The sequence below is a fragment of the Homo sapiens genome, chromosome 11, assembly GCF_000001405.40.
Source record: "Homo sapiens chromosome 11, GRCh38.p14 Primary Assembly".
Taxonomy (NCBI): Eukaryota; Metazoa; Chordata; class Mammalia; order Primates; family Hominidae; genus Homo; species Homo sapiens.
The window spans coordinates 10,901,176-10,924,879 of NC_000011.10; the positions used below are offsets into that span (position 1 = coordinate 10,901,176).

At 41.7% G+C, this 23,704-nt stretch overlaps 1 long non-coding RNA gene across 2 annotated transcripts in view, besides 3 other annotated features; it reads right to left on the minus strand.

Moving 5' to 3' along the window:
* LOC107984309 (uncharacterized) overlaps window positions 1-23,704 on the minus strand; it is a 31,528-nt gene that overhangs the window by 1,035 nt on the left and 6,789 nt on the right. The window contains exon 3 of one of the 2 annotated variants that reach the window (XR_001748124.2): window positions 15,906-16,067. The exons of the other annotated variant lie outside the window; for it this stretch is intronic. This is a non-coding gene — a long non-coding RNA (uncharacterized LOC107984309). Of the gene's footprint in view, window positions 1-15,905; window positions 16,068-23,704 lie in introns of those variants that run through there. 2 annotated transcript variants of the gene reach the window in all.
* Window positions 6,570-7,206: an enhancer, noted in NCBI's record as "H3K27ac hESC enhancer chr11:10929292-10929928 (GRCh37/hg19 assembly coordinates)". NCBI's record gives its function as "activates a minimal SCP1, AML or CMV promoter by ChIP-STARR-seq in naive and primed H9 embryonic stem cells {active_cell/tissue: H9 hESC(naive and primed)}" and the evidence as "EXISTENCE:reporter gene assay evidence [ECO:0000049][PMID:30033119]".
* Window positions 7,207-7,841: an enhancer, noted in NCBI's record as "NANOG-H3K27ac hESC enhancer chr11:10929929-10930563 (GRCh37/hg19 assembly coordinates)". NCBI's record gives its function as "activates a minimal SCP1, AML or CMV promoter by ChIP-STARR-seq in primed H9 embryonic stem cells {active_cell/tissue: H9 hESC(primed)}" and the evidence as "EXISTENCE:reporter gene assay evidence [ECO:0000049][PMID:30033119]".
* Window positions 10,827-11,121: a silencer, noted in NCBI's record as "tiled region #6670; HepG2 Repressive non-DNase unmatched - State 22:ReprW". NCBI's record gives its function as "represses a minimal TATA promoter and a strong SV40 promoter by Sharpr-MPRA in HepG2 cells {active_cell/tissue: HepG2}" and the evidence as "EXISTENCE:reporter gene assay evidence [ECO:0000049][PMID:27701403]".

The window sequence follows — 23,704 nt, forward strand, 5'->3', positions numbered from 1 at the left end:
TGGCTTTCTGAGGCTGACCTAACCCCCAACTCCACTCATAACACCTCTGCGTCTGCTTCTGCTACTTCTTTTTTTTTTTTTTCAGGGTCGTCCGTATGTTCTTTTATTATTTATTTATTCATTTCATAGTAGTAACATATAAGAATATAAAACTTAGCATTAAAACATTACAAATTTTTTTATTTCAAAATACTTTTAAAAATTGTATTTTTAAAATTGACACATAATTGTACATATTTATGGGGTACATAGTGATGTTTTGATACATATAATATATAGTGATCAGATCAGGGTAACTGGCATAGACTTCCACCTCAAACATTTATCATTTCTTTGTGTTGGGAACATTCAATATCCTTCTAGCTATTTGAGTCTCTCTCTTATTGTGAACTATAGTCCTTCTACAATGCTATAGAACACTACAACATATTCCTCCTATCTAGCTGTCATTCTGTATCTTTAACAAATTTTCCCCTGCCCCTCTCCACACTACCCTTCCCAGCTTCTAGTATCCTCTGTTCTACTTTTTACTTCTTCTTTTTTTTTTTTTTTTTTTTTTTTGAGGCAGAATCTCCCTCTGTCACCCAGGCTGGAGTGCAGTGGCAGGATCTCGGCTCACTGCAAGCTCCGCCTCCCAGGTTCACGCCATTCTCCTGCCTCAGCCTCCTGAGTAGCTGGGACTACAGGCGCCCGCCACTACACCCGGCTAATATTGTTCTTGTATTTTTAGTAGAGACGGGGTTTCACCGTGTTAGCCAGGATGGTCAGGATGGTCTCTATCTCCTGACCTCGTGATCCACCCACCTTGGCCTCCCAACGTGCTGGGATTACAGGTGTGAGCCACTGTGCCCGGCCTGCTTTTTACTTCTAATATCAACTTTCTTTTTTTCTTTTTTTTTTAGCTTCCACATATGAGTGAGAATATGTGGTATTGAACTTTCTCTTCCTGGCTTATTTCACTTAACATAATGTCCTCCACTTCCATCCATGTTGCTGCGAATGACAGGAATTCATTCTTTTTATGGCTGAGTAGTATTCCACTGTGTATATGTGCCACCATTCAAAAATCCGTTCATCTGTTATTGGACACCTAGATTGATTTCATATCTCGGCTAATGTGAGTGGTGCTGCTAGAAACATGGGGGTGCAGATGTCTCTTTAATATACTGATTTCCCTTCCTTTGGTTACATGCCAAGTAGTGTGACCACTGGATCATATTTAACCATTTTTAAGTGTATACTTTAGTGGCATTAAGTACATTTACGCTGTTGTGCAATTATCACCGCTATCCATCTCCAGAACATGTTCATCTTGCAAAACTGAAATTCTATCCATTAAACAACAACTCCCCATTTCCTCCTTCCTCCAGCCCTTGGCAACCACCATTCTATTTTCTGTCTCTAAGAATTTAACCACTTTAGGTACATCGTATAAGTGGAACCATACAACGTTTGTCCCTTTGTGTCTGGCCCATTTCACTTAGCACAGTGTCTCCAAGGATCATTCATGCCTGCTTCTTTTCAGAGAAAGTCTTCAGAAACTTTCCAACAGTAGATAGAAAAAATGATATTGTATCTCAGAAACTACTATAAAGGGGGAAGCTGAGTGGATACATACACTTCTTTGTTTTAGATGCTGCTTATAGCTGTAAAGTAACTTCCTTAAATAAAAAATAAAATGTATTGTGTATCTGTATCTGGGGAATCAGACGAGATCGGGCGTGTTCAGGGTGGTATGACTGTAGAGGTCTCGGCCGGGCAGGAGCTGAGTGAGACTTTATCTGATATGCAGATTTGGGCAACACCCTTCCTCCCATGCATTTAGCTGGTCCAGCAGGACCAATGCCCATCCATGCTTCAAAATTTTCTTAGCCATATATCTGATGATTTACTTAAGACCAAAGAAGTCCTGAGCAAGAACGCTTAAGAAGCTGATAGTAGCCAGGCGAAGTGGCTCACGCCTGTAATTGCAACACCTTGGGAGGTTGAGACGGGTGGATCACGAGGTCAGGAGTTTGAGATCAGCCTGGCCAACATGGTGAAACCCTGTCTGTACTAAAAACACAAAAATTAGCTGGGTGTGGTGGAGCACACCTGTAATCCTAGTTACTCGGGAGGCTGAGGCAGAAGAATTGCTTGAACCAGGGAGGCAGAGGTTGCAGTGAGCTGAGATTGTGCCACTGTACTCCAGCCTGGGCAACAGAGCTTGCTCTGTCTCAGAAAAAAAAAGAAAGAAGAAGAAGCTGATAGTTCGGGGGGTCTGACAGAACCAGGTTTCAGGAAGGTGATTTGGCTCCTTGAGGGAAAAGTCACTGAAAGGGAGAAAGTAGGCTGGCATGGTGGTCCAGACCTGGTAGTGGGGCCTGGGCACCAAAGAGGAGTGGCATCAAGACCCCCGAGCACCCTGGAAGCAAGGGCCGGGTGTAAAAATTCGAACACCTGTTTAAGTAAACTCTGTGATGGTTTGGGGCCCAAAGGAAAGGAAGGGGAAGAGGGAAGGGAAATTATAGCAGGACTCCTGCTATGGCTTATGAAAAGTCAAACATTCTTCTCTTCCCGTTGGCAGTGACTGGGGAGCTGAGTAACTCCGTCATGAACATCAGTGGTTCAGTCATTGGTGTTGCGAAGAGGGTCTCCATCCAGCTCAGCAGAGGCAGTGCAGTGACAGTGGTGGGCTTCTACATCACAGTGATGGTGTATAGCAGCAGGACCCCCAGATCTCAGGCTAGCAGAAGGTTCGTTAGCAGCTCTGGTTTGTACGGATAGAGGCCAGCAGCATGGGGGGGCCTGAGCTGATTTGGGTTCATAGGTAAGGTCCCACTCAGGGACTCCTGGAAGGTCTTGGGGAGGAACTTCGTCAGAGACTGTAATTCTTTTTTTTTTTTTTTTTTTGAGACGGAGTCTTGATCTGTCACCCAGGCTGGAGTGCAGTGGCGCGATCTCGGCTCACTGCAAGCTCCGCCTCCCGGGTTCACGCCATTCTCCTGCCTCAGCCCCCCGACTAGCTGGAACTACAGGCGCCCGCCACCACGTCCGGCTAATTTTTTGTATTTTTAGTAGAGACGGGGTTTCACCGTGGTCTCGATCTCCTGACATCGTGATCCGCCCCCTCGGCCTCCCAAAGTGCTGGGATTACAAGCGTGAGCCACCGCACCCGGCCAGAGACTGTAATTCTTGCCTGACTGGATGGGGTGCTAAGCCAATGAGATTCAGATGATAATGTGAACACAAGCCTAATTGTACCTATTGGCTGGTGAAGGGCAGCAACCTTTGGGTTAGGTATGTTTTGATTTGATAATAACAAAATTATTATGCAGTTTATTCTCACAATGATCAATTCATTAATCTCATTTAATTTATAATGTTTGCTCCAAGCAGAGCTACTAATTGCCAATATGTAGGAACGATAGACCTCTTACTTTTGGCTAGATGATGACACTCATGAGGGACTTTGAGAATAGATGAAACCGTCATTATTACAGTCTGTTTTTTTGGACTTGGTCACATTTTCAGAAAATAAAAAGACATTGAGAAAAGAGGAGGCAAGGGAGCCTTGAAATTGATGAAATATGACTTATCTGTGTGGAAGTTTGTCTAATCAACGTCTACTTTAGAGTGGCTGCACTCTCAGTGGTTTCTGCTTCTTCCAGAGCTTCTTTTATTGTTGTCCCAGACTTTTGGGAACCAAAGAGGAGTTTGCTTGGAAGTGACAAGTTTCTTGAGCCACTTCTATGCTAGTTTTCTTCAGAAAGGTGTTTATTTCTATATGTCATGTGACTGGGTCTTAACTACTATTGACTCTAGGAAAATTCTCAAAGTGGTTTCATTTGGTTTTATCCAAGTACAGGCAGTGGAGGGTAGGATGCTAGGTAGGTCCCCATCCTTCCTTTGGTGGGACTTACAAGTGTCTCAAGCCATCAAAATCTGGGTTTTTCTCATAGCATGGATCTCTTGGGCTAAGAAAATTTTGAAGCATGGATGGGCATTGGTCCTGCTGGACCATATATGGCTACCCAGAGGCAGCTGTTGGTGGGATGTCCTCACTCGGGGACAATGAGCAAAGGACTCATCAGCCCAGGTAGTAAGTGTTGGTTGAATTCTGGGCACTGGATGTTCTCTCATGTGGTACCCTGGCGCTGCCTACTGACCATGCTCACCTGGGCCCAGGTGGGGCAATCTCTTGAATCTGACTCTCATCGTCACATGCCACTCTAGTCCTGGAGGCTCTACTGACTTCCCTCCTCATGCCCCTGCTCTGTCACTCATGGCAACTCCAATACTCACCTTTGAGATTACTTTTGATCTTCATCTCTTCTCTTTTGAAGCTATTTTTAATTTTTATTTTATTATTATTTAATATTTTAATTTGAGATGGGGTCTTGCTCTGTCACCTAGCCTGAAGTGCAGTGGTGCAATCATAATTCACTATCGCCTTGAGCCTGGGCTTAAGTGGTCCCCCTGCCTCAGGCTCCTGAATAGCTGGGACTACAGGCACATGCCACCAAGCTTGGCTTCAAGCTATTTTAAAAACTATGTATTATAAACATCTTCAAGAATACAGAAAAATGGAAAGAACAGAACCATGGCACTCATATTCACTTAATCTTGATTAAACAATTGTTAACATTTTGTCATGTTTACTTTAATAGAATATATATGAACCACTTCAAAGTAATTGTAAACTTTTCATTAATAAACACTTCAGTATTCAACATGCATCTCTTAGGAATACAACATTCTTTTACATAATGACAATACTATTATCACACCTAAGAAAATTAATAGTAATTGGCTAACATCATCTAATTTAAATTGTATATTCATATTTCCCCAATTGTCCCCCACATGAATTTTTAAATTGGTACTTTAGAACCAGAATTTAATCAGAGTTCATGCATTGCATTTAGTAGTATGATTTTTACTCTCTTTTATTCTAAAACAATCCCATTTGTGTTTTTAAAAATTATATCATCAGGAGTCAGGGCAGTTGTAATGCAGAATGTCTCACCTTCTGATTTGTCTGACCATTTCTTTGTGGTATCATTTAACTTCAAAAATACATATGTAGCCCTTGTATGCTCTGGAAACTGGAAATTGATTGTAAAAGCTTGACTAGATTTGCTTAATAATTTTAGTGGAGGATGCTCATTTTTTTAAATGAACAAATGTCCTGCCTTAGTCCCTTCAGGGTTTGCCTTTTGAATTTCAGTATGTTCTCTTTCTCCTCTTTTCTCTCAAAAAAGCTTATTTGGAAAATTGCTTTTTTTTTTTCCCCACAGCTATTACTACTGAACTATTTCACAAACCCATTTTGAAAGTCAAAAACCGAGCACTGAGTCTTTCTCTGTAATCCAGCTACACCAACCCTAATCTTCTCTGAGGTGATGCACAGCTGTCACTGGGGAGAAATGGAATGCCAGGAAATGCACAAAGGAAAAGCATCCTGACAAATGTTTTCAGCCTTATGCGCCACACCACTAAAGAACATTGCCACCTGCTGTAGGATATGAAGCTTCTGAAGCACATGAGAAGTAAGAGGAAACAATGGTCATGCCCCCAAAGGTCTTGCTCCACAGAACTGGAGGGACACGTTCTGAAGAATCCCAGATTGCATTCCAGATGCACCCCATGGAAACATGGGACTTTGGTCCTTTTCCAACACCAGGTCACAAGGAGAAAGCTCATTTTGCAGCTACTCACAGTTACTAGCAGGGCCATCATCCTTAACATTTTTCTGTTGACTCAGATCTCAGTGATTTGTAGAAGGATAAATTATCTAAGTATGAATTTCCTCTTAATTCTGAATAGAATCTTATAATAGCCTCTATCCTGTTACGACGTTCCCAGTAGTCTTATGAATTCAGTAGGGAATAAACCAGCTGTTTCCATTTCATGGGGAGGGCGGGAGGAACAATCTTGGACTTTTTCTTTTTTTCAACCAATGTTTATTGAACCCTTATTGTGAACCAGGAGCTGTATTAGGCTCTGAGAATACACAGTTAGCCTGAACCTACATGATGCTTATACTAGGGAAGAAGACACATAAACAGATACTTTTATTATAAAATGGTAGAAATAATTACTAGGTGTCAAAGGTTCAAAGTTGAAGGGTATCACTCAGCCTTCCTGGAGGAGCTGAGACTTGAATTAAGACTTGAAGGATGGGCCAGATGCCAAGTGGGGAGAAGAGCTCTGTTGATCTGTTCATTGTGGTATCCCTACCACCCCACCACATGGTCTAGTACATGGAAGACATTTAATACAGTGAATTTGCGAAAGAAATCTCAGCAGAGGAAATGTTATAAGCACAAACAAGGCACGGGAAACTAGAAATGATTTGGATTTACGAGAAGATTAATCCTTATAGGATCATAGATTTCTCTGAAAAACTAATAGAAGCTATGGTCCGTCTTCCTACCAAAATTAACATACACTCAACATTTAACAGGTAATTTTAGGGGGATACAGATATGCCTGAAACTTGTACACACTGAGAAATCTCTGTTATAGGGAATTGGGAGCATTGAGGTTTTTAAAAACATCTTTATTTTATTTATTATAAAGTAGGGGAATGACATAACTTAGAGTTACTTTGGATGCATAGTGAAGGATGGGCTTAAGGAAGATAAGACTAGATGTGGCAGTTCACTTAAGAGGTTGCTGAAATAATTCTGGGTGAGTTAGCCAGAACTAGGAGTGAAGACACGGGCATGGAGAAGAGTAGTGGGGTGAAGAATACTTTAAGCGGTAAAACTGGCCTTGCTGGTGTTTGGTTGGATTTGAGAGCAAGGAATGGGAAGGAGCTAAGGTTGACTTTCAGGTTTTTTGAAGGACAGGGCAGATGGTGGTGCTAGTAATTGAGATAGGAAATGCAGGAAAAGAGGTTTGGGTCAGGAATGGGCTGATGGAGAGTCTGGGGACGGGAGAAATGAGGAGTTTGGGTTTGGCCATGTTGAGATCACTTGAGGCGACCAGGTAATGACAGATACGAGCGAAGTGGAAGGATAATGGGGAGATGCTGTAAACTTTAAGGAGCAAAGGATTATGGGAGAGTGGAGTGGGGGTCCAGCATATGTTTTCACTTAATTGGGCAGTGAGGAGGACTGGTGGCCACTGAGTCTGAGGAATGTGGGGAGTAAGATCATAAGGCAGCTCCTCAAACAAGGGTTGGCGGAGGGCCAGTGTCTTCAGGAGCTATGTTAATTTCCCAGGGCTGCCACAACCAAGCACCACAAACTGGGTGACTTAAAACAACTGGAATTTATTGTCTCACAGTTCTTGGGGCTAGAAGTCAGAAATCAGAGTGAAGCAGGAGAAGAAGGTCTGAAGGCAGGGAACCTGAGGCCATTTCATGCAGACTTCCTAGAACTAAATTCATGCAGACTTCCTAGAACTTTCCATGCCTAAGTAACAAAAGGACCAGAGGCTATTCCCTTTGCAAACCCCCACCTTTTCTGTGTGGCAGATGGGAAATCTAAAGTACCTCAATTTGCATACGAGTGTAACTTTGTTTGCTTTGGAGTGTAACTTTGTAACTTCACTCCAGCCTCTGATTGGTTGCTGTCCACAACCAATCAAAATGATTGCAGGCCGAGTCTTCGTTTGCATAGAAGTGCGGCTTTGTAACTTCACTTCAGTCTCTGATTGTGGGCCACCACTTCATTTACATGAGGTGAGCACCAAGTGGCCAATGGGAAACCTCTAGGGGGTATTTGGATCAGAGAAGATTCTGTATCCGGGCCCATGAGCCTGCTGGTGCCGCTCCCACGCTGTGGAGTATACTTTAACTTTCAATAAATCCTTGCTTTCATTCTTTCATTGCTTCATTCTTTTCTTGCTTTGCTGTGAGTTTTGTCCGATTCTTTGTTCAAAATGCCAAGAACCTGGACAACTTGCAGTCAAGACCCTCTACCGATAACAAAGGTGCTGGCAGGATCATGCTTCCTGTGAAATTTAGCGAAATCCTTCTGCCTCTTCCTAGCTTCTGGTGGTTTGCTGGCAATCTTTAGTGTTCTTTGGCTTGTGGAAGCATCACCTTACTCTCGGCCTGTGTTATTGCATGGCGTTCTCCCTGGGTCTGTTTTCTCATGTGGCCCTCTTATAAGGACCCCAGTCTTATTGGATTACAGACCCATGCTGCTCCAGTATCACCTCATCTTAATTAATTACATCAGCAACGGCCCTATTTCCAAATAAGGTCACATTCTAAGGTACTGGAGTCAGGACTTCAACATACGTTTTAGCAGGGGATAAGTTCTACCCATAGCAGGGAAGTTACTATTTCTAGTTCAAGGAGAAAACAGAGGGAACATTCTTCACAGATTGAGGGGGCAGGGGGAGTTAGGTTCCGAAAGGCTCAAGTGAAATGGTTGGGGGTACTGGGGGGGGATGGTGGTGGGGTTTCTGATCAGAGGAGAGGTGAGAGGAAGAGCTAACCGACATTCTGGGTGATAAGACTGGTGCAAATGTGAGTCATGGGGTGTTGGCACGAGGAACTCACTGCAGCTCTGGTTTGAGGGCAGTCTGGGTGGACTGGCCCTGTGGTGGGGTGAGAACACACTCTGCCTCAGGGGACTCTGGGTAGAGGAGCATCCCATGAAATGCATCAGACTGCTGTTGCCTGGTCAGCTTCTGCTTATGGATGTTAGTTTGATGAAGAAGAATCACTTACTTCTTGCAGATTCTTGAAGTTTTCTCCACGGTGGCTGAGATTTCCTAAAAGCTGCCGGTGTCACTGCTGTTTTTTAAATTATTTTCTTCTTGCTGCTTCTAGCAGGCAGTAAGCAATGATAGTCTGAGAGGTGCTTCTGTGCTCATAACTTCTTTATTTTCTTTGGGATTTTGAAGTGTTCTTCTATTCCCAAAGAACTTAAGAAAGCAAATTCAATGAATAAACCTGTTATTTGAGAAACCCCTCTCTATCTACTTACTCCTTTCTTATTGCCTTTATGAATTCCAAAACAGCAGAGTGCAAGGTAAAAGGTGTTAAGTCAAAAGACTGTCACTGGATTGTAAATACATTCTGGGTAGGGGCTTTATATTGTTAGCCCTTTTAAAAATTCTACTCTCTATGAAAAGGGCAAAAAGAGCTGATGCTCAGGCCACTGCTCTGTGTTTCACTTGCTTGCACTCTTTCTTAAATAATTTCTTAGTTATAGTCCCAGCCACTTTATATCCTATTTGATCCTTTTTTTTTTTTTTTTTTTTGAGGTGGAGTTTCGCTTTTGTCACCCAGGCTGGAGTGCAATGGTGCGATCTCAGCTCACTGCAACCTCCACCTCCCGGGTTCAAGCAATTCTCCTGCCTCAGCCTCCCGAGTAGCTGGGATTACAGGCGCACACCACCACGCCCAGCTAATTTTTGTATTTTTGGTAGAGATGGGGTTTCACCACGTCGGCCAGGCTGCTCTCAAAATCCTGACCTCAGGCAATCCACCTGCCTCGGCCTCCCAAAGTGCTGTGATTACAGGCGTGAGCCACTGTGCCCGGCCTGTTGGATCCATTTTTATGAAGGATTATATAAATGTCCTCTGATAGACATAGTTTCATAAAAAGAAGCTCCTATCCAGGTGTGCTAGCTTAAAAACCAGTACGGGAAGAATTTGTGAAACGATGTTTGTGGTAGCTAGAGGGACTGTATCTGTTGAGCTGGGTGGTGAGCGGTATGGCACAGATCTGAAGTTAAGGTGGTTTCTTCTTTGTTGGTGTAAAAATGATGGTTGGAGCTATTTTCAAAAAACTCATAAGAAGGGATGATTGTACACATGTGTGTTGCAGTTCATCTGTACAAATACAAAGACCGGGGACTTAGGAATGTTGACTGCCACTTAGAGCAGTGTTTTGCAAAGTTTAATAAGCACGTGAAGTGCCTGGGCATTTTTAAAAATGCAGATTCTGATTCAGCATATCTGGGATGGGTCCTGAGATTCAGTAGTTCTAACAAGCCCCCAGGTGACATTGATGCTGCTGATCCAGAGACCACACTTAGAGGAGCAAAGACCTGGGGAACCTCTTGAAGAAGCACCATGATAGCATTGCAGTCTGGTCCTCAGCCTAAATCCTTCAACTGCAACCTGAAATCCAGAAACAATAAAAGCCAAAAGTATTTTTATAACTCCTTTTGAGGCAAAACCTGATTTGAACTCATGTGAAAATATTCATAATGCTTATTTCCTATTTTGCACAACTATTCATGTTTTCATTGCAAAAAGATTGGTGTATATGATTATGGGAAACTGCCCTAGACTCCACTGGTGTGTGATGTTATATGAGGCACAAGACCATATTCTAAAGTCCAAAAAATTTCTGAATTCAGAAACACCTCTGACTCTCAGAGTTTGTGGACCTGTGATGGTTTTGGGGATGCTTACTCTATCTACAGTCTTCCTTCTTCTTCTGGAAATTGTTTTCAACTTCATGAAGCTGGGCCTACTCTGTCCTCCTACGCCCAGCTTCCCCCACCGGCTGCATATAATTTGATCAGGGCTGGACACTTGACCCAAATTGGGCCAATCAGATTTTCTTTGTGAGACTGTAGAGTTTGAATTCATAGATGTTCATCTTGGGTGCAGGGACTGAGGCGGGTGAGAAGCAGCTTTCTGAAGCTGCATACCTGAGAAGCAGAGAAAGTTGATCTGGAGAGAGAAAGAGAGAGAGGGAGAGAGGTGTAAAGACAGAAACAGAAAGGAGTGTACGTGCAGCCTGAGAGTGGGAGGGGAGAGCATCAGCAGGAGTGTGAGATGCAGACGGTAATGCTGTAATATAATTAGAAAATATATATTTGGTCTTTGTCTCTGGTTCCTGGCACAGGGCTTCTAAAACACTTGTAACTTCTTGAGCGTAGGGAGTCAGAGGAGTATCTTTTGTTATAATATTTGGCTTTTGTCCCCGGTTCCTGGCGCGGAACTTCTAAAATCCTTGGAATTTCCTGAACGATAGGTGTGAGAGAAACCTCTATTGTCATTTATAATACGCCTCTTGCAATCATACTTGAGTTTATGTGAATGGGGTGATTCTTGGAGGGTGCAGACTGGTTACCAGAGGAACCAGCCACATGATTAGAAGATTGGAACTTCCAGCTCCACCTGCTGACCTGTGGGAAGAGGAGAAGGGCTGGAGATTGAGTTCATCACCAGTGGCCAATGATTTAATCAATCATGACTACGAAATGGAACCTCCATAATGACCCTCAGTGATGGGGTTGAAGAGCTTCCTGATTGGTAAACACATCTACGCGCCAGGAGGGAGGCACACCCCAACCCCGGCGGTGCAGAAGCTCCTTCACTCTGGACCCTGATGGCCCCTACTCTGTACCTCTTCACTTGGCTGTTCACTTGTGTCTTTCATAATAAGCCAGGAAGCATAAGTAAAGTTCTCCCCTGCGTTCTGTGAACCATTATAGCAAGTTATTAAACCTGAGGAGGGGGTTGTGGCCAAGTCTGAACAAAGTGTAAATAACCTGGGGACCAACTGCTTGCAATTGGTGTCTGAAATGAGGGGCAGTCTTGTGGGACTGAGCCTCTAATCTGTGGGGTCTGCAATAACTCTGGGTAGTTACTGTCAGAATTGAATTCAATTTTAGGGCACCCAGTTGGTGTCCATATAGAACTGGAATATTGCTTGGTGTGGAAAACCCATACATTTGGGGTAGAGAAACAGTTTCTCCTAGAACAGACCAAGAGTGAAGGCAGAGGTTTCAATCCTGATGGCTTTTTGGTTTCTGGTTTTCAGTCCCAACAGCCCTTTCTTCCCTTGAGTTCTGTGGCATACAGCTACCATCTTATAATACATTTTTACATTTTTTTAATGCTAGATGGAGTGGGTTTCATTGACCCAAAAGGCCTTAACTAACACACTAACATAACTTTTTCTGTTAGTGCAGTAAGTTTTTTTTTTTAGACTCTGGAGAATGGACATGCAAATCAAATTCCCAAGAGAATGCTGATTTATTAATTTCCATGCAGAATAACTGCCAGTGGGACCAGAATACTCCTGCTCACAGGTCAGCTTGTTCCCTGCTGGTAGGAAAATCTGCATGGGAAGCCAAGTTATTATGAGAAGGCTGCTTGATGAGTGCAGACAGAACCACATAATGAGGGGATCTGAGCAGACTGCCTCCAAGCTAGCCAGGATGGCTGGAGGCCCTTTTCCCTACTTTCAGGATGGAGTGAACCTGCCAAGTGGTGTACACATGTGCCCATGCTACAGCATCCTTGGAAAATAGGCCAGCTCACTAAAACGAGTTCACCCATAAGCCAAGTCAGCTAATGAGCCATTTACCTAAAATGAGTATTTGTTAAAACATTTCATGTGTGACTGGATGGTTTCCATAGCTTTCTGAGTCTTTTCTGTCTATGGTGACTGGTGACTGTTTTATGTTCTGCAGTTCTTATACCTCTTTTTCCTTTTCTCTTCCCTTCCCTTCCCTCTTTTCTTCCTCTCCTTCTCCCTTTCCTCCCTCCCTTTTTCCTTCCTGCTTTCTTTTCTATTCTTATTTCAAAGATATTTTTGCTTACTTATCTAAGGTTGCCCATCTCCCCTACTTCATGCTGCCATCACCCCATCATCTCCTAGAGCTCAAGACTGGAGATTGTCTCTTGAGAGCTAGGGCAGCCATAAAGCCAGAAACAGTGCTGGATGGAGAAAATGGGTGGAGCAGAGCTAAATGTGTGTGTGTGTGTGTGTGTGTGTGTGTGTGTGTGTGTGTGTGTGTGTTTGTGTGTGTGTGTGTGATGGGGGGAAGCTGGAAGGGCAAGAGCCAGACACTCCAGACAACTTGAACCACCCAGACCAAAGCAGCAGGGGCAAGACTGTCAACTAGAAATCAAACCAAGAATCAAGAATGGAACAAGAGACTGGATTGAAGTAAGGAGATAATAATAGTAGTTTTGTATTTCTATTGCCCATTACGTATCTTATAACTTTCTATTTTTCTAAATTTGCAGTATGTGCCTTTTGGAAACATTTGTGTAATGTTGAATTTGCATAAATCTAGAGTTGCCCAACTCAGGGGGTGTTTTATTTATGATTCATCAACTTTCTCCTTTTTTCTTTTTAGCTTCTCCTTCCTGCTGCTTATTATTTGCATCTTAGACTTTTGTGCACTAGATGTCATCATTAAGCAAATTAACCCAAATTTAATGTTTGTTGCTCTGTAGTGAGGCATTTCTGTGTTGACAGTGGAAGTGAAAAAATAAGGCGTTCATCAGAAACATATTAAGCTCTATTGCACTTTATAGCTTGTGACACCTAAATGACAAAGTGATACTGGACCACAAATATTAACCCATATTATATTTTAATGCTCTTTTGAACCAAATAAAGCCTGTCTTAACCAAATAAAGTTTTTTCCATCATAAAAATTATATATATTTGTATTTCTTTCCTGCTGTTGATGTAACAATCACAATTTAGTGGTTTAAGACAACATAGCTCTTTTTTTTTTTTTAAGTGAGATAGGGTCTGGCTCTGTTGCCCAGGCTGAAGTGCAGTGGCATGATCATGGCTCACTGTACCCTCGACCTCCTGGGCTCAAGAGATCCTCCCATCTTAACCTCCCAAGTAGCTGGGACTACAGGTGCATACCACCATGCTCAGCTAATTTTATTTTTTGTAGATACAGGGTCTCACTGTGTTGCTTAGGTTGGTCTTGAACTTCTGGGCTCAAGTGATCCTCCTGCATCAGCCTTCCAAAGTGCTGGGATTACAGGCATAAGTCACTGCACCTGGCCCACAAATTTATTATTTTACTGTTCTAGAGATCAGAAGTCTTAAAATCAAGGTGTCTTAAGGGGTAAGTCCCTTCTGAAGGCTCTTGGAGAAAATATTTCCTTGTCATTCCCTGTTTCTGGAGGCCACCTGCATGCCTTCACTCAGAGGCCCTTTCCTGCATCTTTAAAGCCAGCCGTATAGTTTCTACAAATCTGTTTCTCTGACTATACCCCCTGCTTCTGTCACCACATCAACTGTCTTCTCTCTTGCCCCTCTGTCTATGTCTTATAAGGACCCTTTTGATTATATTAGGCCTACCTGGACAATCCAGTTCCTCTCCCCATTTTGAAATCTTAATCACATCTACAAAGTCCCTTTTACCATGTAAGGTAACATATATACGGGTTCAGGGGATTGGGATGTGCACATCTTTGGGATGGTCTACCATAAAACTCCTTTCTACTATTTAGCCTACTGTAATATTAATTTATAAAGCATTAAAAAAGAGTTTAGAAACAAAGAAAGAAGAAAAATGTATCTCGTTGCACTACTGAAAGATAGACAAAATGAACATTTCCTTCTAACTTTTAAAAAAGAATAGTTTTTACATAGTTATAATTATGTATACAATTAGAGATCCTGTTTTTTCACTAAATATTATATCAATGTATTTTCCATGTTAGTCTATAGTCTGAGCAAACATTTTTTATTGACTACACAATATTCCATTGAGTGTATACACCATATTTTACTTAAGCCTCTCTTTATTTTTAAAAAGTTATTTTTAATTTTTTGATCTTATAAATAACCCTGGGCCAAATATTTTTGCTTACAAGGACTTTTGTGTTTGTGTTTGTTTTTCCTTGAGATAGATTCCCAGATGCTGAATTACTATATCAAAGGCTTTTCACAGGAAATTTTTTCAAATAGTTTATACCAATTTTTAGAATCAACAGAAATAAGTTAGTGCCCATTTTGCTATATTCTCACCAGCACCAAATAAAATAACAATTGCAATAATATATTTGATAATCAGAATATATATCTAATGGACTATCTATCTGGTGGAATATATATCTGGTGACATTAATATTTGGTGGCATAGATATCTTTTGCTTTAATTTGCATTTGATTGTTTACAAGGGAGACTGAACATGTTTTCATGAGATTCTTTGCTAGCTAGCTATAATTCTTTTTTTTTTTTTTTTTGAGACAGAGTGTTGTCTTGTCCGGGCTGGAATGCAGTGGCTCGATCTCAGCTCACTGCAACTTCTGCCTCCTGGGTTCAAGCGATTCTCCTGTCTCAGCCTCCTGAGTAGCTGGGATTACAGGCATGTGCCACCACACCTGGCTAGTTTTTGTATTTTTAGTAGAGACGGGGTTTCACCATGTTGGCCAGGCTTATCTAGAGCTCCTGACCTCAAGTGATCCACCTGCCTCGGCCTCCCAAAGTGCTGGGATTACAGGTGTGAGCCATCGCGCCCAGCCTGCTAGCTATAATTCTTTGATAAATTATGAATTCAGGTCTTTACTTTTAGGAGGTCTGTGTTAATCTGTTGTGTTGCTATAAAGAAATACCTAACCTAGCTTAGGGAACATAGTGAGATCCCATCTCTAAAAAACAAATTAGTTGGACACAGTGGCATGCACTTGTAGTCCCAGCTACTCGGGAGGCTGAGGTGGGCGGATCACTTTAGCCCAGGAGTTCGAGGCTGCAGTGAGCCATGATCGCACCACTGCATACCAGCCTGGGTGACAGAGAGAGACCCTATCTCAAACAACAACAAAAACAAACCAAAAGGACAAAAACAAAAACAAAAAAAGAAATACCTGAGACTAGGTAGTTTATAAAGAAAAGAGTTTAATTTGGCTCACAGTTCTGCAGGCTGTACAGGAAGTGTGGGGCTGGCATCTGCCTCACTGAGGTGAGGGCCTCAGGAAGCTTACAGTCATGGTAGAAGGTGAAGGAGGAGCAGATGAATCATATGGTGAGAGAGAAAGCCAGAGAGAGACAAGGGTGTGGTCCCAGACTCTTAAGCAATCAAATCTCATGTGAACTAACTGAGCAAGAACTGACTTATCACCAACGGGTGTTAACCATTCATGAGGGATCTGCCCCCATGATCCCAATCACCTCCCACCAGGAAATCACATTGGGAATCACATTTCAACATGAGATTTGGAGGGGACAAACATCCAAACCATATCATTCTGCCCCTGGCTCCCTGAATCTCATGTCCTTCTCACATTTCAAAATATAATCATGCCTTCATAATAGTCCTCTGAAGTCTTAACTCAAAAGTCCCAAGTCCCAAGTCCAAAGACTCATCTGGAGATGAGTTTCTTCTACCTATGAACCTGTAAGATCAAAAACAAGTTATTTACTTCCCAGACACAATGGTGGTGCAGGCATTGGGTAAACATTCCTATTTTAAAAGGGAGGAATCGGCCATAAGAAAGAGGCAACAGACCCCAAGCAAGTCCAAAATCCAGCAGAGCAGCCATTAAATCTTAAAGCTCCAAAATAATCTCCTTTGACACCATGTTCCCCATCCAAAGAACACTAGTGCAGGGATGGGCTCCCAGGGTCTTGGTAGCTCTGCCTCTGTGGCTTTGCTGAATGCAGTCCACATGGCTGCTCTGATGGGCTAGAGTCCAGTGCCTGTGGCTTTTCCAGGCTGAGGATGCAAGCTGCTGCTGGCTCTACCATTCTTGGTTCTGGATAATGACAGTCCCCTTCCCAAAGCTCCATTAGGCAGTGCCTTAGTGGGTATTCTGTGTGGGGGCTCCAACCCCACATTTCCTCTCAGGGCTGCCCTAGCAGAGGCTCTCTGCCAGGGCTCTGACCCTGGGGCAGACTTCTGCCCTAGCACCTAGGCTCTGAAATTGAAGTGGAAGCTGCTAAGCCTCCTTCACTCTTACATTCTGCATGCCTACAGGCTTAACACTGTGTGGAAGTTGCCAAGGCTTACAGCTTTCACCCTCTGAAGCAGCAGCCTGAGCTATACCTGGGCCCCTTTGAGCTGAGGCTGGAGCTGGAGCAGCTGGGATGTGGGGAGCAGTGTTCTGAGGCTGAGCAGGACAGTGAGGCCTTGGGCCTGGCCTCTGAAACCATTTTTTCCACCTAGGCCTCTGAGCCTGTGATGGGAGGAGCTGTCTCTAAGATCTCTAAAGTGACTTTGAGGCCTTTTGCTCATTGTCTTGGATATTAGCCCTTGGCACCCTTTTAGTCACGCTAATCCCCCTAGCAAGTGGTTGCTCCACAGCCTGTTTATATTCCTCTCTCAATAATGCTTTTTTATTCTCTGCCACATGGCTGGCTACGAGTTTTCCAAACTTGTATGCTTTGTTTCCCTTTTAAATGTAAGTTTCAGCTTTAAGTCATTTCTTTGCTCCTATAACTTATTGCAGGCTGTTAGAAGCAGGCAGACTACTTTCTGGATGCTTTGCTGCTTAGAATTTTTTTCTGCCAGATATCCTAGGTCATCACTCTTAAGTTCAAATTTCCACAGATCCCTAGGACATGAACACAATGCAGTCAAATTCTTTGCTAGAGTGTAACATGGGTGACTTTTACTCCAGTTCCCAATAACTTCCTCATTTCCTTCTGAGACCTCGACAGCCTGGCCTTCAGTATCTGTATTTCTACTAGCATTTCAGTCACAACCATTTAACCAGTCTCTAAGAAGTTCCACACTTTTCCTCATCTTCCTATCTTCTTCTGAGCCCTCCAAACTCTTCCAGCCTCTGCCTATTACCCAGTTCTAAAGGCACTTCCAAATTTTCAGGTATCTTTATAGCAATGCCTGACTCCTCAGTACCAATTTTCTGTGTTAGTCCATTCTTGTGTTGCTATAAATATCTAAGACTGGGTAATTTATAAAGAAAAGAGGTTTATTTGGCTCACAGTTCTGCAAACTGTATAGTAAGTATGGTGCTGGCATCTGCATCTGGTGAGGGCCTCAGGAAGCTTACAGTCATGGTAGAAGGTGAATGGGGAGCAGATGAATCATATGGTGAGAGAGGAAGTCACAGAGAGAGACTAGGATGTGGTACCAGACTCTTAAGCAATCAAATCTCACGTGAACTAACTGAGCAAGAAGTGACTTATCACCAAGGGGTGTTAACCATTCATGAGGGATCTGCCCACATGATCCAATCACCTCCCACCAGGAAATCACATTGGGAATCACATTTCAACATGAGATTTGGAGGGGACAAACATCCAAACCATATCAAGGTCAAAGTATTTTTAAAATCAATTTGTCTAAGATCTATATATTTTTGAAAGCTTATTTAATGTTTGTGATACTTGCTATAATTATTTTCTCTCATCTGTTGTTTCTATACTTTTTTATATCTAGAAGTTTTAAATTTGTATATAGTCTACTCTATCCACTTTTTTTCTTCTTCTTCCTTGTTGTTTCAAAAATCTTCCTGTTCCAATGGTTAAATATGTAGTACATTTAATATTCATATAGTTTTTCTTATGGCTTAAAAAGTGTCTCTTTGGTCCATCTGGAATTTATGTTGGTATGAAATCCGTGGAGAGGATCTGACCACCTGCTTAAATTATACTCAGAGAAGGAGCCGATTTGCACTTCTGAGTTTTCTGCAATGAGCCACCTGCCTTTTTCTCCTTGTTGAAAAGAAATAAAAACGATGACAGAAAAATGTGAGACGCTACGCTGTTTTCCTAGTCACAGGGAATAAGTTTCCCTTTTTCTGAATCTTTCTCCAAATGTTCTCATCTTCTGATTAGTATTTTAACTTAAAATTGAGACATAAATAGCCTTAGATAGAAATAGACAGAAATAGCCTTAGATTGGTATTCATGGAAAGTGCTCAAAAGTGGGCAAATTAGAAAAAAAAAAAAAGCACCAAACTTTAAAAAAGTGTTGGAAATCATTCTCTCCAGTGTAAAATATTGTACATTTAGCAAATATGAATTCTGGATAAATTGGTTCAGGTAAATTAAGCCAGAGCTGACAATCTTCCCTCAGGACAATAATCTAGGCCAGCATTGTCCAATGGAAATAAAATGTGGGCCATGTATGGAAATTTAAGCCTTCTAGTAGCCAGATTAAAAGGTAAATAGGAGCAGGCAAAGGTAATGTAAATATACTTTCTTTAACCCAATATATGAAATATATTATTATTTCAACACATAATCTATGTTAGAATTATTAATAACATAGTTTTTTTTTTCATATTAGGTCTTTGAAGTCCATTGTTTATGTTATGCTTATGGCACATTTCAATTTGAATTAACCTCATTTCAAGTGTTCAGTAGCTACATGTGGCTAGTGGCTGCCATATCTCACAGAAAAACTCTAGACACAGGAACACAGTTTGGCTGTTTGACTCCTTTTTTTCTATACTCCACCCTGAGCAACCTTTTAAAAATGTCTTTTCTCAGGGTCTGTTAGCTGATTAGCTTTTGGTATTGTGTTGTTACAATCATTTTAAACATAACTCTTCTCCACAGAACTTGGGTGTTTCACAATCTTGCAGCCATGGTTTACAGACAACTGCTTGGTCACTCCTGCTAATCTGAGGTTAGCACTGAGGTTAATCCTTCCCTCTGTCGCTCTCTCTGTCTGCCTGTGCCTCTGCCTCTGCCTCTCTCCTCCCACTCATTCCCCTCCATTTTCAGAATAGAAATAGCTTTCTTACTTTCTTCTGATTAAAAAAGTAATAATATATGTTTGTAGGTTTTTTTGAAAAAGAAGCAGGTGCTCAGAAGGAAAAATGAATAAAGTGAAAATTAACTGTAGCTTATTACACAAAGATAACCATTAGTAGCACTTTGGTAGCTTATCTTTCAGTATTGCAAACATATATTTATGAAAACACAATCATACCATATATACTACTTTACTTTGCCTTTTACAAATAATAATACCTGTATTAAAAATATAAATTGACCTCATTGTTCTTTATGTTCCTCCTAGTATTCCATATGCGTATTTACCATGCTTTATATAACCAGCCTCCTATTATTAGACATTTAGGTTGTTTCCAATATTTCACTCTTATAACCAGTTTTTGCATGGGTGTATAATTTTCTAAGAAAAAATGTCTAAAGTAGGTCAGATTTTGATAGACAGGGCTGGATTGTCCTTCAGAAGGATTAGGCAATTACATTCCTTACAGCAGGGTATGAAAATGCTTGTCATCCTACATCTTGGTTGGCACCAGATAGTATCAATCCTTTCTAATCCTGTCCATTTTAGTTTGAATCTTCCTAACTTTACTCTTACAATTCTAGAAATATCTTAACATTGATTGTAATATATGGAGAAGTTCAAAGCTTTGAGTGAATTAAAGTGTATACTGAATATCTCCAAATGACTTCACATACAGGAAATGATCTAACCTGATGTATCAAGCAAGATAGGTTTGGTTATGCTCAAATAAGAAGCAACTCAAAATCAATTTCTTGCTCATGATCCATATCCAGGGCAGTTCAGCAGGGAGTTTTGTCCATCATAGACACCTGGCGGCTCAGGCTGACAGAGGTCCAATCTGGATACTCGCTTCTGGAATCACCTTGTCAGGTGGAAGAGGACCTAACAGATCATGCTCTGGTTCATAAAGCTTCCACCTCAACAGACCTAAGTCACTTCAGCACACATTTCACTTCCCAAAGGAAACCATAAGAACACATCTGACTTCAAAGAGGGTGGGGAAGTACAGACCTACATACACCTGGCAAGAGAACAGGACTCTGTCAGCATCCCTAACGACTGTCACACCTTAGAGGAAAGGAGACACTACCAGGTACATATTATTATCCAAATGTCACAGATAAGAAAACAGAGACTTAGTGAGTTTAAGAAATAGCTCAGTGCATTTGTCAGGCGGGTGCAGTGGCTTATGCCTGTAATCCCAGCATTTTGGAGGCCAAGCAAAAGGATCACTTGAGCCCATGAGTTTAAGACCAGCCTGGGCAACATAATGAGACCCCGTCCCTACACAACATCCAAAAAAATTAGTCAGGTGTGCTGGCATGCACCTGTAGTCCCAGCTACTTGGGAAGCTGAGGTAGGAGGATCACATGAGCCCACAAGGTTGAGACTGCAGTGAGCCATGCTCACACCACTACATGACAGAGCGAGACCCTGTCTCAAAAAACAAAACAAAACAAAACAAAAAAGTAGTTCAAGGCCACTTAGCCAGTAAGTAGGGGATTATAATTATCTGGGATTATAATTTAGGTCTGTCTGATTTCAAATGCATGCGCTTTGTAATACTTTGTCCTCTTAGGAACGTCAGCAACATCTTCAAAAAGAAGGCCCGGCTTTGGGACACACATCTCCTTCTAGTTCTGTGTCAGCGCGGGTTCTTCAGATTCTCTGGGGCTGTTTTTCTCAGTCAACACATCAAATGCATCATTGTAGTTTGTCCTTGGTAGGACTTCCTGCTTCCCATCTACCTGGAGTCAATTCTCCTGTTGTGGCAATTGTTCTACGAAAGTGTCCACTGTGATGTCCTCCTCATAAGATACATATTTTGGCCCATCATTTGTAAGCATAACAGTATCACTGCATTAGGGATGTCTTCTTGCAAATATTTGATGCTCTGCCCATGTTTCAGTGCAAAATAGGTCCAAAGAACATTATCTTGGACAACTGTGTAGGTCTTGATAACGTGTAAGCTTCTCATCTGTGTGCATTTGGTGTTTGGGCATCATATTCTAGGAAAAGGAGACTAAGATTTATTGAGAACCTACTGTGTGTCAGGCACTGTTCTGAGCATTTTAATGTATTTTTATCCTCCTTTATTCTTCATAACAGCCCCTTTGAAGGAGGAGCTGTTATTCAGGGGTATAATTGTCGAATCAAATGGGATAATAAGAGTCAAAAATAGATTTCTGAATAGGATAATAACTATGATAATTACTCTCATGGAGAGTTTTTCAGCTTCTGCAGGATGTTTATAATTTCTAAAAGGTGTGTTTGACCATCCCTGCAATATTTGGAAATAGGTGTTGAACTTGAGAGCATATCATTTAGGATTCTCTTGTATGTGAGCCATGGAAAACTTAGCTCATCTTGGCTTAAGTTAAAAAAAAAAAGGTGGGGGCAATTTATTGGGTTGTGCAACTAAAAAGTACAGGAATAGTATAGCTTCAGGTATGTTTTGATCAGGGAATTAAATGATGTCACTAGATCCAAATCTCATTCTATTTCTTGGCACTAGTTCTCCCTAGATTGATATTGATGTCACCTTCAGGCTGTTAAGTGGTAGTGAGAAGGCTTCTGGCAGTGCCAGCCTTTTGTCTTTCTTGATTTAAGTCCAGTAGGAAAGATCATGTGTTTCTCTCTCAGCAGTTCCACAAAAACTTTATTGCATTTCATTGGCTGTGATTAGAGCAAACGCTATTCCTTAAGCAATCCCTATGTTAGGGACTGTGATGCTGTGATCGGTCAGGCTTGACTTAATGTCCATCCCTGGAATTAGGGCTTCCTTTGTATGTGGACTTCTTTTTTTTTCCTTCTTCCAACTTTGCTGGAGTATGTTTGACAAGTAGAAATTGTATATATTTAAGGTTTACAGCTTCATGTTTTGTTTTTTTTTTTCTTTTTTTGAGATGGAGTCTTGCTCCGTTGTCAGCTTGGAGTGCGGTGGCGCGATCTCGGCTCGCTGCAACCTCCAACTCCCTGGTTTAAGCGATTCTCCTGCCTCAGCCTCCCAGGTAGCTGGGATTACAGACAAGCACCACCACACTCAGCTAGTTTTGTATTTTTAGTAGAGACAGGGTTTCACCATGTTGGCCAGGATGGTCTCAATCTCCCGACCTCGTGATCCGCCCACCTTGGCTTCCCAAAGTGCTGGGATTACAGGCGTGAGCCACTGTGCCCAGCCCTCATGTTTTTATATATACGTATAATGAAATAACCACCACAATCAAACTAGTTAATGTAGTTATCTTTTTTTTGTGATGAGAATACTTTAAGATCTACCATCTCAGCAAATTCCAAGTATACAAAACAGCATTGCTAACAATAGTCACCATGCTATACATTAGATCTCCAGAGCTTATTTATCTTGCATAACTGAAACTTAGTAACTTTAATCATCATCTACCCATTTCCCCCTCCCACTAGCCTTGGTAACTACCATTCTACTCTCTGCTTGTATGAGTTCAACTAATTTAGATTCCACATGTAAGTGAGATCATGCAGTATTTGTCTTTCTGCATTTGGCTTATTTCACTTAGCATAATGTCTTCCAGATTCATCCATGTTGTTGTAAATGGCAGGATTTCCTTGTATTTATGCAAATAAACATCTTTTATGTGCAAAATTGGGACAGTATAATGTATACTATATAGCTTTTTAAAATCTAACAATACATTGTGAATAATTTGCCATGTTTTTAGATATTATTATATGTGATTATTAATGACTGTGTGGTATTCTCCAGTGGATATACTACAATTTACTTACACGTGCCCCTACTTCTTTTCTGTCACATAAAAATAATATCATAATGGACATGTTTGTGGACAGCTACAATTAATTCTTTTTTTTTTTTTTTGAGTCGGAATCTCACTCTGTCACCCAAGGTGGATGAACTGTTTTTCAGTTCATCACCAAAGGTGGGGTTGTTTTGGAAGTCTGAATAATCTAGGATTAGCTGGGATGGCCTATTTGGTCTTAGTGGGTAAACACAGAAGTCAGTTGCCTGTTCTGGCCAAGCTTGTTCTGGCCGAGTTCTATTTTTATTTTTATTTTTTTGAGATAGGGTCTTACTCTGTCGCCCAACTGGAATGCAGTGGCACAATCTCGGCTCACTGCAACCTCTGCCTCCCGGATTCAAGCAAGTCTTGTGCCTCGGCCTCCCTAGTAGCTGGGAGTACAGGCACGTACCACCACGCCCGGCTATTTGTATTTTGTATTTTTAGTAGAGATGGGGTTTCATCATGTTGGCCAGGCTGGTCTTGAACTTCTGACTTCAGGTGATCCATGCACCTTGGCCTCCCAAAG